The 18,534-nt window shown below is 39.7% G+C and overlaps 1 protein-coding gene across 16 annotated transcripts in view, besides 1 other annotated feature; it reads left to right on the top strand.

Moving 5' to 3' along the window:
• The window catches only part of WDR27 (WD repeat domain 27), a 275,610-nt gene that overhangs the window by 105,669 nt on the left and 151,407 nt on the right, over positions 1-18,534 (top strand). For 15 of the 16 annotated variants that reach the window (XR_007059231.1, NR_146875.2, XR_007059230.1 and 12 more), the window contains one exon: positions 13,427-13,525. Coding sequence is in view for 13 of the 16 variants with exons in the window: in XM_011535688.4 (XP_011533990.1) it covers positions 13,427-13,525 (99 nt within the window). In the remaining 3 variants the exon portion in view is untranslated. Of the gene's footprint in view, positions 1-13,426; positions 13,526-14,444; positions 15,267-18,534 lie in introns of those variants that run through there. The other variant, XM_011535684.4, reaches the window with a different exon arrangement.
• Positions 6,472-6,641: a silencer, noted in NCBI's record as "silent region_17796". NCBI's record gives its function as "represses an Ori minimal core promoter by ATAC-STARR-seq in GM12878 lymphoblastoid cells {active_cell/tissue: GM12878}" and the evidence as "EXISTENCE:reporter gene assay evidence [ECO:0000049][PMID:35858748]".

Raw genomic sequence — 18,534 nt, 5'->3', positions numbered from 1 at the left:
GAGAGCACAATAGGGAAAAAGGATACAAATGAGAGAAGTAAATAAAGAAAATGATAAAAGACATTCAAGATGAAAGGTAAATATAGAAGTTCGGTAAAAGAGATTCAACCTACATGTAAAAGGAGTCCCTGGACATTTTTTTAAAAAGTCAATTAAACAGAACAAATACTATGATAGTTCAAAAATATATTTTCTAAAATTAAAAAAATTTAGTTAAATCTAGATATTGAACGAATACCTGGGAAAATTGACTCAGACTAGTTTGCACAGAAATATAGCTTAACAAATCTATTTGACTATAAACATTAACAAAAAAACACCTTTGTGGATCCATGTAAAATGTTCAAATGCTTATAAGGGAAAGAGTATCAGCTTGGATTGGATTTTTGTAAATCATCTTTTTTTGTTAAAAAAACATTGGGAAGAATGTATTTTACTTACTCAAAAAGAGAATCTGAGTCAAGAATTTTAATATCCAGCTAAATTTTTTTTTGAGTATAAAACCAGACACACAGTTATGAATATGCCAGAACTGAATGGTGTTCCCTTGAGTTATATTGAAAAAAAAAAAAATAAAGCTGTATAAAACCAAGGTAAGATTGAAGAAGTTTCAGCAAAAGCCTCAAGGTGAGCACTGAATATGTTTAACTATGTAAGATAAAAAATGGGAATGAAGGTACCAGAATACTTTGTAAATATTCTATCTGTTATAGTTTAATAGTACAAAACTGGGAGATGTGAGAATATAACTAGAAAGTAGAATACCTCTCTTGATTCTCCTTGTAGATGTTAATTGAATAAGAAGAGATCAGTTGAAGCTGACAATAGAATTGTAAACTCTTAAATGTAATTAAGAGTATAAATATTAAGATAATTATGATTAAAATTGGATGTAGAGGAAGAGAGATGGAAAAATGGTTGCTAGACAACCTCACTATTGGGCATAGTAGGGAACTAACATGCATTGTCTTAGAGAGGAGTGGACCAAGAGTTTTGCATAAAGCTTTTAATAAAAGATAACTGCTGGAAGAAGAATTCTACCATTTTTAAGTGCCCAAAGAACTATCTAGATAGGACAAATAAAATAAACCGTAAACTGCCATACATTAAATAGAATTAAAAATAAAATACTATGATGAAACTGAGATGAAAATGTCAGTCATATTGATGTCTTTGTGGTTGTTGTTTTTGTTTATTTTTGAGTCTTGCTCTGTTAGCCCAGGCTGAAGTGCAGTGGCACGATCATGGCTTACTATGAGCTTGAACTTCTGGTCTCAATCCATCCTCTTGCCCCAGCCTTCCACATAGCTGGAACTACAGGCACATGCCACCCAGCCTGGCTCATTAGTTTTTTAGAGATGAGGTTTCACTATGTGGTCCAGGCTGCTCTCAAACAATTGGCTTCAGGCCTGCAGCCTCAGCCTCCCAAAGTGCTGGGATTATAGGCCTGAGCCACCATGCCTGGCTCATATCAATGTTTAAGGAAAAAAAGAAAAAAACTTTCAGATTGGATTTTACAGATGAGGAAAAAAATCTGAGTCCATGCTGAATACAGGAGATGCTTTAATCCGAAGTGATCCAGAAAGGATAAAGAGAAGAGATGTGAAATGTATACCAGGCAAATGAAAATAAAAATAAAGCAGATTATATGATTTTAGTATCGCACAAAACACAATTCAACCAAAAAATTATGAGGCAAAGATACTTATAATGCCAAAGACTAAAATTCACAATGAAAATACAGTATATGTTAGTATCTAATTTTGAAGAAAATAAACAAATTTCACAAGGTGGAAACAATAAGAACCAAATAATAAGTAGCCACACATTAATAATGGAGACTAACGTATCTGTCTCAGTCCTTGGCAGGTCAAGTGCACAGAAATTATAAGGTTATAGGAAACCTCTATATCATAATTGATAATGCATTATCTTGTAGATATTCATAGTAATGTTTGTCTGCCAGCAAGGAAAGTGTCTTATTTTCAAGTGCACATCAAACATCTATGAACAATGACCATAAATGAATCCAGAGAAAAGCTCAATACATTAAAATAAGAACAAAAAATCAACATTTTCTCACTATAATGCAATCAAAGTACAAATTTAAAAACCAAAAAATTTCTTGCTTCTAAATATTAAAATTCCATCTGTTAAGCAACTCTTGGTTTAAAGGTGTCAAACAAAATAGGAAATTGTAGAATTTCTTGAAAATAATGTTGTTTCTAACATGATATATCAGTGTCTCTGGAATACCCATAAACCAGTTTTTGAAGGGAAATTTATAGCACCAAATACCTATATCACAGACGTTTTTAAAAGGGAAAAAATAAATGAATATCTACCTAAAAAGCCAGACAGGGAACAACAAAGTAAATCAGAAGAAATAAATGGATAGAGATAAAAGCAGGTGATAAGTTAGAAAACAGAGAATCAGTAGAATTAATAAATAAATTAAAACACTAGTTGTGTTTTTTGTTTTTTGTTTGTTTGTTTGTTTGTTTGTTTTTTTGAGACAGAGTCTTGCTCTGTTGCCCAGGTTGGAGTTCAGTGCCGCGATCTCAGCTCACTGTAACCTCCGCCTCCCGGGTTCAAGAGGTTCTCCTGCCTCAGCCTCCTGAGTAGCTGGGATTACAGGCGCCCGCCACCACGCCCAGCTATGTTTTTGTATTTTTGGTAGAGATGGGGTTTCACTATGTTGGCCAGGCTGGTCTCAAACTCCTGACCTCAAGTGATCCACCTACCTTGGCCTCCCAAAGTGCAGGGATTACAGGCATGAGCCACCATACCTGGCCAAAACACTAGCTTTTTAAAAACACAAGCAACAAAATAAACTTAATAGTGCAATTTTTTTTATAAAGAGAGAAAGCTTAATCTATAATAAGAAATGAGGAGGAGGCAGAAGCATGGAGCAGAAGGATTTTGAAAATCATGAGACTGCTTCTCATAATTTGTGCAAATTAATATGAAAGCCTCTATACAAATGGTTGAGTCACAGAAATTTAGTTTATCAAACTGGCCCCCAAAGTAGAAACAAATTTAACAGGCCACTTTTCGTAGAAGAAATAGAGAACGTTTCCTAAGAACTCCTTGTGAAATAGTACCAGGCCCATGTGCTTTCTCAGGGGATTTTACCAACCTCTTAAACATCAAATAGTCCCAAAGATACTTAACTGTTTTAAAGCATAGAGAAATAAGGAAGACATCAGACTGCTTTTTGAAGTAACCATAACTGATAGAAAACTTGATGAAATTTCAGAAAGGAGTTATATTTCATTTATGAATATCAATTGAAAAGCTTAAATAGGAACATAGAATTAGTGCATTAACAATAATTTATCATGTCCAAGTGGGGTTTATGCGTAGAATGCAAGCATGATTCACTATCAATAAATCCACTAATAATTCCCTCATAATATTAACTGATACAAAAAGAGGACTCTTATAACCATGTTCCTGGATGCTTCAATAAAATTCTGGATTCATTTCTGCTAAAACACCCGGTAAAAGAGGAATCCATGAATGCCTCTTTCAAATGATAAAATGCTTATCTCAGCCCAAAAGCTGACATCTTACTGAGAAAACTTTAGAGGCATTCTGTGGTTGGGAACAGAGCCAGAATGTTCATTAATTCCATGACTATTTTACAGGGTATTGGAGGTATTTCTCTTGAAATTAGACAGGACAACTTAACAGATATTACCACTGAAAAGAACAGCTAAAATTATTCATAGGTGACAAGATTGCATATCTGGAAAACCCAAGATAATTAGTGGCCAATATGAACAATAAAATAATTAAGTGAAAGATTAGTAGTAGTATTTAAACTAATATATGGAATTCAATGGTCTTTATAGATATAAAAAATAACCTCTGAAAAGTTATAGTGGAAGAGGAGAACTCATTGAGAATAGCCTCAAAAAGGATAAACCATTCCGGTATTAACAAGATTTCTGCAAAACCTGCATTAAGAACATTTTTTTCCCCCAGAAGTGTAGACCTGGACAAACGCAAAATCCTAACTTGTTCTTGGATAGGAAGATTTAGTTTCCTAAAGAAGGCAGTTCTCTGTAGGTAATGTGTAGATTTAACACTCCCCCAACAACAACAACAACAAAATGCCAGTAGGTTTTTCTGTAGCTGTACTGTTAGACTGAAAGTTACTTGGGAGAATAAACAAGTAACAATGGTCCAAATACCCCCGGAAAAAAGAACATGATGATGAGGAGAACTTGCCCTGTCAGCCGTTAACCTCTGTTGGAAAGCCTTTCGAATTAAAACCATGTGCAACTGGTGCACGAATACCAGTATTTCTTAGCTCCTGCCACGGAAGGTGCTTGGAAGCAGTGACATTCCAGCCATCACCCTTAGTACCCTCTTTGCAACCTCTAAATGCCGTTCCCCACTAATAGAAGCCAGAACTCCCTGGGTGGAGAGCTGGTTCCAGGTCTGTGGCAGAAGACTTACAAGATGAGCCAGGGACATCTTGTGCCAAAGAGAAAAGAAATCAAAGGGTAATGGAGTCATATAACAAGGCCACAGGCAACAGCCAATTCCCAAGGCCTTAAAGCTGCTGCTGCCTTAGGCATGCACTACTGTCTGCTGGTTAGACCAGCGGGCAGCACCACACCTGTGCCGTATTCTGTTGGCCAGCGGAGGGCTAGCTGACCATCCAAAGAGTAATGACTGTGATTGACTTCAACATTGTATATCTAAACCCTCATCATTTTTGATAATGCTCCCCCCAAAAAGCTATAGCTAAAAACAAAAACATAAAATGTCATTGGTCCCCATTTGGAGGTAACTAGGGCACCTGTCCCTTAGTCAGAAGTGTGTCTTATAAAGGAAAATAATTAAACATTTGTCTGCCTTTCCTGTTCGGACTGTATTTTAAGTAAACCAAATACCCTACTTGGTAAGGGAAAGTTATTTCTTAGAGAATTGCAGACAAGTAGAATGGATGAATGGCAGAATTAGAAAATCACCCTCTTCAATCTCAGATGGAGTAATTGACTTAGGCAAATGTCATCAGTAGGTGAAATTATCAGATGAAGATCATGGCCCAAAGGAAGCTTGAATAATAGACATTTTGCTTAAGAACACATACAGATGGCCAATGGGTACAGGAAAAAAGGGCTCACATCACCAATCATCAGGGAAATGCAAGTCAAAACCATATTGAGACACCACCTCACACCTGTTAGAATATCAGAAAGACAGGTGATGATGAGGATGTGGAGAAAGGGGAGCTCCCGCACAGTCGGTGGGAATGCAAAATGAGGTAGCCACTGCGGAAAATGTGTGTTGTTTCCTCAAAGAGCAAAAAGTAGAATCCACATGATCCAGCAATCTCACTCCTGGGTATTTGTCCAAAAGAATTGAAATCCGTATATGGAAGAGATACCTGCGCTTCCATGGCCATTGCAGCACTCTTCACAGTATCCACAGTGTGGAAGTACCCTAAATGTCCGTCTCAGGGGAATGGATAAGGAACATGGAGCGTAGACACAGAATGGCATATTATCCCAGGCCTTAAAAAGTTACTGCTGCCTCAGGTATTTACCACTGTCCACTGGTTAGACCGGTGGGTGGTACCACACCAGTGCCCTGTTCTGCTACGTCTTTACAAGAGGAAGTGCCAGAGAAAAGGGTGGGGTTTATTACTGTGTGTGCCATATTTATTTTGCCAGACCTTGATGGAGGTTGACAAGAGTTGGAGATTGTGCGTCAGCCTTGCAGCCTGATGAGATGGTGCCATTCGCCTCCCATGGCTGGTGTGGCGGGCGGCCAGGTGGCCCTGCGTGCCACCATCAGGAATTCTCTAACAGAGCCTCTGCCTCTTGCTGTAAGGAGGCAAGGCTTCTGTCTTAGTGTGACTTTGTTTTAAATCTTGCACGTTTTGGTCTTCTGAGAATAGTTTACTTTTTTATAAACTAAAAATTCAGTATCTGAAGAAATGTGCAGAATATTCAGAAAATATCATTTCTGGAATTATTTTCAAAAGCAAAATAAGTGAGCATAATATGATAGTTGATTCCCCTGTGGAAAATATCACTACCATTGTCAAGTTTCAGGAGTGCAACACTCACTTCTGTTTGTAATTCTTTGTCTCCTTTCTGCTGTGGGGTTAATTTGGGTAAAGGGAAATGAAGGTCACGTTAGGTACTCTGTGAAAGGAAAAATGAAAGAAACTTCATTCTCACAGATGTGGCTCAACAGAGTTACAAAATAGTTGTAATGAATCGGTGTAGTCCTGTTTCCAAAACACTTCTCTTCTTCAGTAGTACATTCAGTCCCTTACAATTTTTGTAAAAACATTTTTGAGCAGTCAAGCGTTATTCCAGCACCCACAGATTTATGCCACATCCTCATCTTTTGCCTGAAAAATATTGCTTCCCTTGATTTGGTTCTGGCATAAGATTTACCCGCATAGGTTTTATTTCCAACTCTGTTTGTTTTCTGAGTATGTCTTAGCCACAGCTCGTTTCTCTGTGGTGGGTGAAGTGCTTCATGAATCCAGTGAGTACCTCTAATTAAAATGTTTCTTTCACACATGGATTGTGGTTACATTGAATCATTTGCAGAGCTGTTCATTACCATCGCTCTGTGTCATACAAGAGGCTTATTGTCCTTCTGTATTTATGACACTGTGTAGGATCACAGCATAAGAAACCTGCCTATCTACTAAAATATTGATATTTGGGCTTCCAATTGCTGTGTCACATGTAAAGTTGTCATGATCAGAAAATTCATGTACCCCAAGAATCCCCTGGACCAAAAGATGTTTCATTTAATTTCATTCTCACTGAGGAAACAAAAGGCCTTTCCTGGATACGTTTTACCTCACCTCCTGCCACTGTATTATGTCATTCAGTGTGTGTTTTGAGGTTTCATGCAAATGGGAGCCAGCTGATCTCAGGAAGCGCTTTTCAAGAGGTGAGTGGCCTTGGAAGGCTGCCTGCCCTCAGCCTGGCTTCCTTGTCTATAGAATTGGGGCAATAAGTGTTTTCTTCATAGTGCTGTTGAGAGGGTTACACGAGAAAATTTATGTAAAATTCTTATCAGTGCCTGGCAAAAGGTCAGTGTCCAGAAAGTACTTGCTGCTGTTAACCTCTGTATTTTATCATTGGAAATAATGGATGGAAAAGAGACTCAGTCATTATAATTTCCCTTATCCATTTAATCTAAACAGCAGGCAGACAGGAGTTCTGAAGAGTGGATCCTCAGAAACCCTTTGATATTAAATCAGTCCTGAATTAAAAATAGCAAAATAAGCAAAGATGGTTTTGGAAACACCTGTGAGATTAGAGGGAATTTGAGGATGCCCTAAACCATGTGTGAATGGGAGTTGTCTTTGGCAGCCTAGTGAAATAAATAGCAAAACCTTAGTCAGAAAAATCAGTTTGGAATCTCAGCACTGAGGCTCCGTGGCTGTCCTGGCAAAGTGCTCTCTACCTGTCATGGTTTCCTCAATAAAAAAATGGAGATTTCAATAAAATATGGATGCACCTTGGTCCGTTATTGTAAATGGTTTATGTAACAGTTGTGTTTTGTAAATAGTGACACACTGTGTAAATGTTAGGGTTACCCTCACCCAGTGGTTCCCAAAGTGGGGTGCCCTGGACCAGCAGCAGCAGCCTGACCTGGGAACCTGTTAGGAGTGCACATTCCCAGGCCCCACGCCACCCCTTACAGCAGCAACTGCACGGGAATACTTTTCAAATAAGCATGTGCTTGTGGCAGAAGAAAATAAAATGTAGACATTTGATTTCTCCACTTTCCTTAAAAATTCAGCTGACCCTTGAACAACATGGGTTTGAAATGCACGGGTCCACTTATACATGATTTTTTTTCAACAAATATATTAACATTTTTGGAGATTTTCAACAACTTGAAAAAACTCACAGATGAACCACATAGCCTAAAAGTATAAGAAAATTAAAAACATATGTCATGAATGCATAAACTATATGTAGATACTAGTCTGTTTTATCCTTGACTATCATAAAATATACACACATCTTTTTAAAAAGTTAAAATTTATTAGAATGTATGCACATTCTCAGTCAAGAGAAATATAAACAAATGCAGAAATGCTGTATGAAATCATCACTTCATAAACTCAACTGTAGTCCCTCCAGCACTCCTGTCCTCATTTCATCACCCCTGCTCTTGCTGTTGTGGTGAGCTCAGGAGTTACAAGTATCCCTTAAAATGCTGTGTGATGCTCATCGCCTCTGCATGAGCTGTTCGTCTCTCCAGTAAATTGTGTGTTACCGTAAAAGGCGGTCTCTTATAGCTCTCGTGTATTTTTCATTGTGTTTAATGCAATACTGTAAACCTTGAATTACACCATGGGGCCCATAGGAAGTGCCCCTGGAGATGCTGAACCTTCTCCCAAGAAGCAGGGAAAGCCACGGCTTTACAGAAAAAGCTGAATTGCTTGGTATGTACCATAGACTGGCAGTCGCTGCCATTTCAGGATAAATGAATCCAGTGTAAGAAATAGTGTAAAAAAAGAAAAGGAAACTCATGGAGACATGGCTGCAGCTATGCCAGCAGGCACGAAAACCTTGCACGTTTTGTTAAATCCTTTTTAATCTCATTGCAAATGCAGCTTTTATGTGGGTACAGGATTGTTATGAGAAAGGCATACTGTAGATTCTAATATGATTCAAGAAAAAGTGAAGTCATTATCTGACAAAGCAAAGGGAAGGTGAAGGATGGCTTGATAATTTTAGAAGAGGTTTGGCTTAAAAAGTTCAAGATAACAGGAGAAGCAGCTTCTGCTGACCAAGAGGCAGCAGCTGAGTTCCCAGACATCATTAAGGAAATCATTGAGGGCCGGGCGCAGTGGCTCACACCTGTAATCCCAGCACTTTGGGAGGCCAAGGCGGGTGGATCACCTGAGGTCAAGAGTTCGAGACCAGCCTGGCTAACATGGTGAAACCCCGTCTCTATTAAAAATACAAAAACTAGCCGCGTGTGGTGCTAGGCACCTGTAATCCAAACTACTTGAGAGACTGAGGCAGGAGAATCGCTTGAGCCCAGGAGGTGGAGGTTGTAGTGAGCTGAGATTGCACCACTGCACTCCAGCCTGGGCGACAGAGCAAGATGCTGTCTTTAAAAAAAAAAAAAAAAAAAAAGAAAATCCTTGAGGAGAAAGGATATCTTCCTGAACAGGTTTTTAGTGCAGATGTAAGTGCCCAATTCTTAGGGAAAAACATGCCACAAAGGACATTTATTGGTAAGGAAGAGAAGGAACACCAGACTTAAGGCAGGAAGGGATAGGTCAACTCTACTGGTTTGTGCAAATGCAGCTGAGCTTGTGATCGGGGCTGTCCTTATCCATAAAACTGAGCCTTGGAGGGAAAAAAACACCACCTGCCAATCTTTTCATTGTTCACCAAGAAAGCAGGACAGTGAGAACGTTTTCCTGGATTGGTTCCATTGATACTTTGTCCCTGAAGTCAGGAAGCGACTGCCTTTTTTTTTTTTTTTTTTTTTTTTTTTGAGACAGAGTCTAGCTGTGTCGCCAGGCTGGAGTGCAGTAGTGCAATCTCAGCCCACTGCAACCACTGCCTCCTGGGTTCAAGCAATTCTCCTGCCTCAGCCTCCTGAGTAGCTGTGATTACAGGCACGTGCCACCACGCCCAGCTAATTTTTGAATTTTTAGTAGAGACGGGGTTTCACCATGTTGGCAAGGATGGCCTCGATCTCATGATCCGCCCACCTTGGCCTCCCAAAGTGCTGGGATTACAGGCGTGAGCCACCGTGCCCGGCCATGACTGCCTTTTAAAGTTCTTTTGATATTGGACAATGCCCCTGGCCACCCAGAACCCAATGAGTTTAACACCAAAGGCGTCAAAGTGGTCTTGCCCCCAAACATCTGTCATCCAGCCTCTAGATCAGAGGGTCATTACACATGGAACCCTATGGAAAGGGTTGTCAATGCTATGGAAGATAACTTTGATAGAGAGAGCATCATGAAAATCTGGAAAGATTGCACCATTGAAGAGGCCATTACTGTTATAGGAAAAGCCATGCGGGCCATCAACCCTGAAACAATTCCCACTGGAGAGAACTGTCCAGAGTTGTGCATGACCTCACGGGATTTATGACAGGGCCAATCAAGGAAATCATGAAAGAGATCGTGGATATGGCAAAAATGGTTTCAAGCTATGGATCTTGGAGAAATTCAAGAGCTAACAGACACCACACCAGAGGAGTGCTTCAAACCAATGCCAGACAGTGAGGAAGAAGACATGGAAGAAGCAGTGCCAGGAAACAAATTGACATTAAACAATCTGGAAGAAGGGTTCTGATGACTCAATGCTTTTGATGTCTTTCACGACACGGATCCTTCTATGATATAGGCACTGAAACGAAAGCAAATGGTAGGAGAAGGATTGGTACCATATGGAAAAATGTTTAGAGAAATGAAAAAGCAAAAATGTCAGGCAGAAAATACGACGTATTTCTGTAAAGTTACACCGAGTGAGCCTGCCTCTGCTGCCTCCCCTTCCACCTCCTCCACCTCTTCTGCCTCGGCCACCGCTGAGACGGCAAAACCAACCCCTGCTACTCCTCCTCCCCAGCCCACTCAACATGAAGTCAATGAGGATGAAGTCCTCTATGATGCCACTCAGTGAATAGTGAATATATTTTCTCTTCCTTATAATTTTTTAAATATCATTTTCTTTTCTTTAGCTTACTGTATTGTAAGAATAAAGTATTAATACATATAGCATATGAAATATATGGTAATTGATTGTTTATGTTATTGGTAAGGATTCTGGTCAACAGTAGGTTATGAGTAAAGTTTTTGGAGAGTCAAAAGCTTCATGTGGATTTTTGACTGCTTGGAGGGCCAGCACCTCTAGCCACCATGTTGCTCAAGGGTCGACTGTATATCAGACATTTATTTGTAGACTTTACTTCAAAACCTGCTTAGTCATTGACAGAATCATTGGGAAGGCCTACATCTGAAGGACTCATTCTTACATTAAAATAGTTCTTTTAGGTGATTATTTTATTTGCTGAGCCGAAGCTCTTTAGTTTGATGCAGTCCCATTTATTTACTTTTGTAGCCTGAGCTTTTCTTCTGACGTTCAAAATATTATTGCCAAGGTCAATATTGAGGTGCTTTTCCACTATGTTCTCTTCTAGGAGTTTTATGATTTTAGGCCTTTCATCCATTTTGAGTTGATTTTTATGTATGGTAAAATAAAGGTCCAATTTCATTCTTTTGTGTGCAGAAATCCAGTTTTCCTAACACCATTTATTAAAGAGATTATCCTTTCCTCATTGTGTCCTCTTGATGGCCTTATTGAAAATTAGTTGTCCATATACATTTAGATTTATTTCTGAGCTCTATACTCTGTCTAATTGGTCTGTGTTTGTGTTTTTTGGCAGTACCACATTGTTTTAGTTATTATAGCTTTGTAATATAATCTTAAATCAAGTGTGATGCCTCCAACTTTATTTTTCTTAAGTGAAAAAGCAACCTATGGACTGGGAAAAATTATTTGCAAACCACATACCTGATAAGGGTTTAATATCCAAAATTTATAAAGAACTCTTGCAACTCAATAGCAGAAAAACAAATGACCTGATTAAAAAATGAGTAAAGGACCTGGATAGACATTTCTCCAAAGACAATATAAAAATGGCCAAAAAGCTATACGAAAAGGTGCTCCACATCACTAATCATAAGGGAAATGCAAATTGAAACCACTGAGCTAGCACCTCATACCTGTAAGGATGGCTGTTATCAAAAAGACAAGAGATAGCAAATGTTGTGAGGGTGTGAAACAAGGGAACCCTGTGCACTGTTGGTGGGAATGTAGGTTGGTGCAGCCATCTGGAAAACAGTATAGAGAACAGTGACAGTAGAACTATAGTATGACCCAGCAGTCCTTCTGGTATATGCTCAAAGGAGAGGCAATCAGCACCACTTAAAGTCACCTGCCCTCCCATGTTCATTAGCATTAGTCACAACAGCCAAGCTATAGAAACAACCTAAAAGCTCATCAATGAACAAATTAATAAAAAATATGATATAGGAGTGTGTGTGCCTATGTCTGTACACACATGTACACACAACGGTATAGCCTGCCATTTGCCACAGTGTGGATGGACCTGGAGGACATTATGTTAAGTGAAATAAACCAGACACAAAAAGAAAAAGACTGCAGGATCTCACTTCTGTGTGAAATCTGTATCTTAACAAGAGCTCAAAGACACAAGATAGATGATGGAAGGAAGTGTGGTTAACAGGGTAGACATAGGCGGGGAGGGGGAGATGTGGGTCAAAGGATACGAAACAGCAGCTGCGAGGATGGAGAAGTCCAGGTATCTAACGTGCAACATGAGTGCTCAAGTTAGTAAAACCATGGTGTATTAGGGATTTTCCTGAACTACATAGATTTTAGCTGTTCTTGTCACAAATACAAGTAGCGATGTGAGATGATAGATATGAGAGTCCACCTCTCCACAGTAACTAGTACTATTATCTTCATATCTGTAGGCATGGATCCCATAAAATCATATTGCAAACTTCAAATATACACAATACGCTTCATTTTTTAAAAATAGTAGGTTTTTGCGGGAAAAAGGAATTGTCTTTGACACCTTCCTCCTGCTGCAATGTGACGTTGCTCTTTATTACTAGTAGGCTTTCAGAAAATATTTGTTGATACACTTTGTTACTTAATGATTATCTCATCTCTCAATTCCATCAGAATGGTATCTGATAACAGATTTTGTCTCCAAAATAAACTATTTGATGGCAATTCTGGATATATATCCAGAATTTTATGTGTGTGTGTGTGTGTGTGTGTGTGTGTATATATACATATATATATATATATGTATATATACACACACACACACACAATTAAAGAGGAACTTATTTATCAACAGCTATAAAAAATCTAAGTATTTGAATTGCTCAAATTCTAAGCTGATGAGTAGGAAGCAAAGCATAGTGTATGTACCTATCTCCTACCTCAAGTTTATGGGGGAGGACAATAGAGCATCTTTTTTTTTTTTTTTTTTCCATTCAATTTGGAACTTCAAGGTAAGGTTGAATTACAGAATCTATACTCCTTCCTTAAAATTAGTCATCAATCATGAGCACATATTTAAAACTGTTCACAGGGTACTATAGAGGTTTTTGATAGTAAATAGAAAGTATGACATAAGTTCACTAAGATGTTAAAAATCTACAAGAGAGAAGGGGAAAAGATGCCTATTTTATAAAGTTAGTTCCCCAGCTTGGATGATGTTTTGTCAGGCATCTTGGTTGTTGCTGTTGTATCTGATCAACTACACTAATCTATAGATGGTCCCTCTGCTCTGCCTAGCTTACAGGTGATTCCTGACTCTGAGTTAACATGGCACACCTGCTCATCTTGTCTTGTAGGCTTACGTGTATGAAATGGGCTCAAGCACGTTTTCTCACCGGCTGGCTGGGCACACAGACACTGTCACTGGAGTGGCCTTCAACCCATCAGCGCCCCAGGTACAGTCTTGCTGAGTGGGTGGGGCGCCTCTGCTGCATACAAGTCTTACATTATATTTTTGTATCTTTATGACTTTATTTTGGTGAAATCTTATAATACTTAAGGTTACATGCCAGTGTTCACTGAGTGCAAGGAGAACTTAGGAAATATATTTTTATTGGCGAGAGAGAGAGAAATAAACCTTTATTGTGGAGAAATGAATCTGGAAAAGTTTCTTTTATAATGAAGGTGTTTGCCACTCAGCAGTCATGCATGTTTGATTGAATGAAACAGGAACGTATGGGAAGACCTGTGGACAAATACGGTTACATGTAGACAAATACGGTTACATGGGGCACTAACATGAACACCAGTGCCAGCAAGAAAGCAAGCAGCAGAGCAAGTAAGAACGGGATTTTGAAAATTCTTATGGAAAAAAGTCTGCAGCATTTCCAGAAACTTTCTTAATTAGAAGAAAACATGAAAATAACCGTTGCAAATCAATTGTATATAAAAATGAATGGTCTTCTATTAAAATGTAGAGGGAGATTTTTTGCAAAGGATTAAAAATATTAGGTATTGGCCAGGCGCAGTGGCTCACACCTGTAATCCCAGCACTTTGGGAGGCCGAGGCGGGTGAATCACCTGAGGTCAGGAGTCCAAGACCAGCCTGGCCAACATGGCGAAACGCCATCTCTACTAAAAAATACAAAAATGAGCCGACCATGGTGGTGGGCGCGTATAATCCCAGCTACTTGGGAGGCTGAGGCAGGAGAATCGCTTGAACCTGGGAGGCGGCGGTTGCAGTGAGTCGAGACCATGCCACTACACTCCAGCCTGGGCAACAAAATGAGACTCTGTCTCAAAAAAAATAAAAAATAAATATCAGGTATTAGTTATCTCCAGTGTTTGGGAATAATTTCATTTTGTCTCTTTAAGATTGAGACTTTGATTCAGAGAATAGCGTCACTGTGTGACTGTGTGCTCTGGCCTAGCGCGTGTGACCAGGTGGAACGGCACTCCACACGTGTCTTGTGACCCGCTCTTCTCTGCTATAGGACGTATCGCCGTGGTTCAGGGCATGTTGCCGTGCCTGGCACACGCGGTACTACCGCTGTATATTGAATAATATTGAATATTGGAAATGAGTAAGTGCATCTTGTGCTGTCATGGACCAGAGCTTCCATCAGCATCACCGCTGAATTCCATCCTTGGCCCTAATTCATCTTTTCAGTCTGCTCCAGATGGGAATTTGAATTTATGTTTTCCTTCCCTATTATAAATAATACTGCGACATACGTCCTGATGATGCTTCACTCTTTCCATGATGAGACTGCCATATACACTGTAACGGACCTGCTTTTCTTGATAATATTTGTGCCATCACCTATTCCACATTTGTAAAACGTATTGTTTTGAGTTGTTGTAATCTTTTATAATCCTTTGAATAGCATTTGGGCAGTGAGATGGAGGGGTGGTCAGAAAGAAAGAAAAATGAAAAGTGCAAAGCTAGACCCAGCAGGGTGGGCGGTGGGGAGAGGTGTAGTGATTTATGGGGGGAGTCAGATGTTAGCTGTCCTGACACTTCAGTATTTGGCATCAAAATGTCTTTCAGCCTGACTGACAGAATGTTTTTGAATACTTGAAACTTTTCAGTGAGAAAAAGGTTGGGTAGGTCTCTCTTGCCCTTGAGATTAATGAATAAAAGAAGCAAATATGGCGTAAATATAGTTATACAAAATAAAGAGGAAAAAGCAACAAGTTGTAGTTGTCATGAACCTTGCTTCCTGACGAAGGGCCGCTAAAGAACAGGCAGCGAGAAACCAGTTATGTATACGTATACATCACACTGATTCATTAAGGATAATGATATCATATACCGAATTTATATATATATATATGTATATATATATATATATATAAAATTCACTAAGTTCCTTATTTTTAAAAATTTCCTTATTTTTAAAAATTTGGCTGGTTCCTTATTTTTAAAAATTTCCTTTCTTTACTGATATTAGTCCACTTTCTTCCACATATATCACCTCACTACCGTTCTGTTTCCCAGCATTATAAATCAAACAACTGGAAGTAGTTTTTATTTTCATACATAGTATTAAAATAATTACTTACCATGACTACAGTAACTCTTAAAATATGTTTTCTGATCACTTAAATTTTCTCAGGATTGGACAATGTTGGTAATTATTGAAGAGACAGTTAACCACATAAAACTGTGTAAAATTAAGATTTGGAAATAACCACAGGCAGGACAAGTTTTTGTTAAAAGTAAACATGATAAAGAAGCACGTGGGATGGTGGGACAGGACACCGAAAATCTTCTCCTTCACAAAGGCAATGAAAACAGTCACAGAAATTGTCAAAACCAGCTTTCTTAGAACTCTGAAAATTAACCAGAGGCTTGCAACAATCCAAAGAGCATGTATGCAAGAAAAATGGCCAAGTCTCAGTAAGACAGCAACCTTTGAAGGCTATCCTGCATAATTTAATAAGAAAGGAGAGCTTCACTTTAAAATGAATACCCTTGGTTAGCAAATGAAGTTCTTGTGTGAAGCACAGGTAAACTTGGAGGTGGTGTTTATTTAATACGTGATTCCATTTAGCGGTATATGAGGGTGCTGCTGTTTTGAAGGAAAGATAGTATGCTCCTAAGCATGGTTTATTTTGTTTATGATATAAAAACATACACACAAGGAAAACATGGGAACAAGTGTGGTCAAATATTGGAAGTCTGTGCCACAAACACCAACAGCATTTCCCCTAATGACTGGATCTGGTAATGAGAGAATGCTGGAGCTGTGAAAATCGGGGAGTGAAACGGTGAGAGCATAGCTCACACTTGGGGGATTGCTACTTTCTTTATTGACTATGATCAACTGTTCAGAATTTTACAGGACAAGTCCAGACCTGATGCAGGAAATCCCAAAATTGGGGCTTAGCCCAGCAGGGTTCTTGGCTTTGCTCAGGAAAGAATTCAAGAGTGAGGTGGCAGTGAAAGAGCAGGTTTTTTCGAGCAAAGTGTGTAGCAGAACGGTAGCTGCACAGGCAGAGTGGCCCCGAACAGCACGCATTGGTTGCTGGTGAGCATAGTTATACCCACTCTTAATTATATGCTACATAAGGGGTGGGCTATTCATGAGCTTTCTGGAAAAGGGGTGGGAGTTCCGGAACCACATAAGGTCACTTCTGGGTTGTTTCCATGCATTTGTAATCTGTCATGGTACCAGTGGGAGTGTCTTATGCAGATGAATTATAATTAGTGCATAATGAGTAATGAGGGCAACCAGAGATGGCTTCAGCACCATCTTGGCCCCAGCTGGTTTGGGCCAGTTCCTGTGCTACATCCTGTTTTGATCAGCAGGGTCATGACCCAGGCTCTGGAAACAAGCCTTGCTGACCCCTGCCTCAGACCCCCTAATTTCTCATTTCTGATGGGTACTTGGTAGTTCTTTCTCACTCTCTATAAATTTAACTTAAAACATATATCTTATGATAAATACATTTTTAGCTCCACAGTCATTACTGCTACTTTGAAGTGGGCTGTTTTGACAAATGGCTTAAGGCTCTCTCTTCTACCTCCACATTACAGCCTCATCAAATGATCAGACCTTTCATCTATGACTTAAGCAAGTTTTTCTTGATAAAATGCAAAGCTGGTCATTGCAGGATGACACCAGGAGTAAGCGGGTTTTGGGAATGGCCAGTTCACTATTGACTGTTGTTAACCTGGTGGAGAAATGTCACAGAAGCATGTCTGGTGCCACTGACACCAAGCCTGCGACGGTCTTTGCAATCAGGAGGAGAAACTCATGGAAATCGGCTCAGCCAGGAGGCAGACTCTGGCTGCTGCCGTGTACCTAGGGTGCTGGTGAGAGACCTTACATAAGGAACCTGGAGTGTGATGACGTCTACGGCAGCTCCCACACTTCTTACTCCTTCATAACACAGGTGTCTATCAGGCTGTAGACATCTTGATCTCCCTGAGTCTCTCAGATACAGAATGGTCATTAATAGCATTAGTCCTGTGTATTTTACAAGGTTGCTTGGGAACAAATGATGCCGTATAAAATAATAACCAAAGCTACTGTTGAGCGTCCCCCAAGAGCGAGGAGCTGTTTGAGGGTCTTTCCTCGTTATCGAGTTCTTGTCCGCAGCTTTGTTTGCAGATGTTAGTGCAGCTGTGTCTCAGATGAGTGATCCAGACAGATCAATTTATATGCAGTTCAGAGTTTGCACCAGCATCCCCACGGCTTCCAAGCCCATGCACTTTCGCCCCCCTGGGAGCTTCTATGTAGGAAATCTATTAAGTGCTGCACACAATTGTAATAAGATAAAATACCTTGTTCCTGCCATTCGTATTTAAATATTTATTTTAAAGTTCTTTTTGAAATTGGAAAAAAAACCCAATCTAGATAGACTTGCCATTCATCCAAAACCTAGGCCGTGTTTGCAAGTGCTTCCACGCTGAAACAACTTTCTGGCCTCTCACATTCATAAGAGGACTTTCTGGAAGATAAGCCCGTGCCATTGTTTTTATATCCCAAACGGCAGCCCACATGGTCGCTATGGATAAGAAAGTAAACTTTATGCTGACCTCTCACCTAACGCACCGTGTGGGCGCCGTTATTCCAGGACCATGTCACACTTTCACAGTTGGAGAGCGCCTTACAGCTTGAAATCTCAGAAGGACCTGCGTTTCCCCACTAAGCATGCTCCAGGGTCAGCACTGCGGAGCGATGACACCAACCTCCCAGTAGGAGGATAAAACACACATTAGAGAAACGCGTTTCCAGAATAGGGGAATCAATGGGTGAAGATGGTTGGGGAGAGAGAGAGACGGATGGAATTTTTTTATGTGAATTGGCTCACTCAGTTGTGGAGGCTGAGAAGTCTCAAGATCTGCTGTCTGCAAGCTGGAGCCCAGGAAAGCTGGTGGCTTGTGCCAGCCTGAGTCCAAAGGCCTGAGAATGGGGTAAGAGTTGGAGGGTACAGGTCTAAGTCCTAGCCCAAG

The sequence above is a fragment of the Homo sapiens genome, chromosome 6 (genome assembly GCF_000001405.40).
Source record: "Homo sapiens chromosome 6, GRCh38.p14 Primary Assembly".
In the NCBI taxonomy this organism is placed as follows: domain Eukaryota; kingdom Metazoa; phylum Chordata; class Mammalia; order Primates; family Hominidae; genus Homo; species Homo sapiens.
The sequence above is the reverse complement of the archived record's forward strand: the minus strand, read 5'-3'. Positions and strand labels throughout refer to the sequence as shown.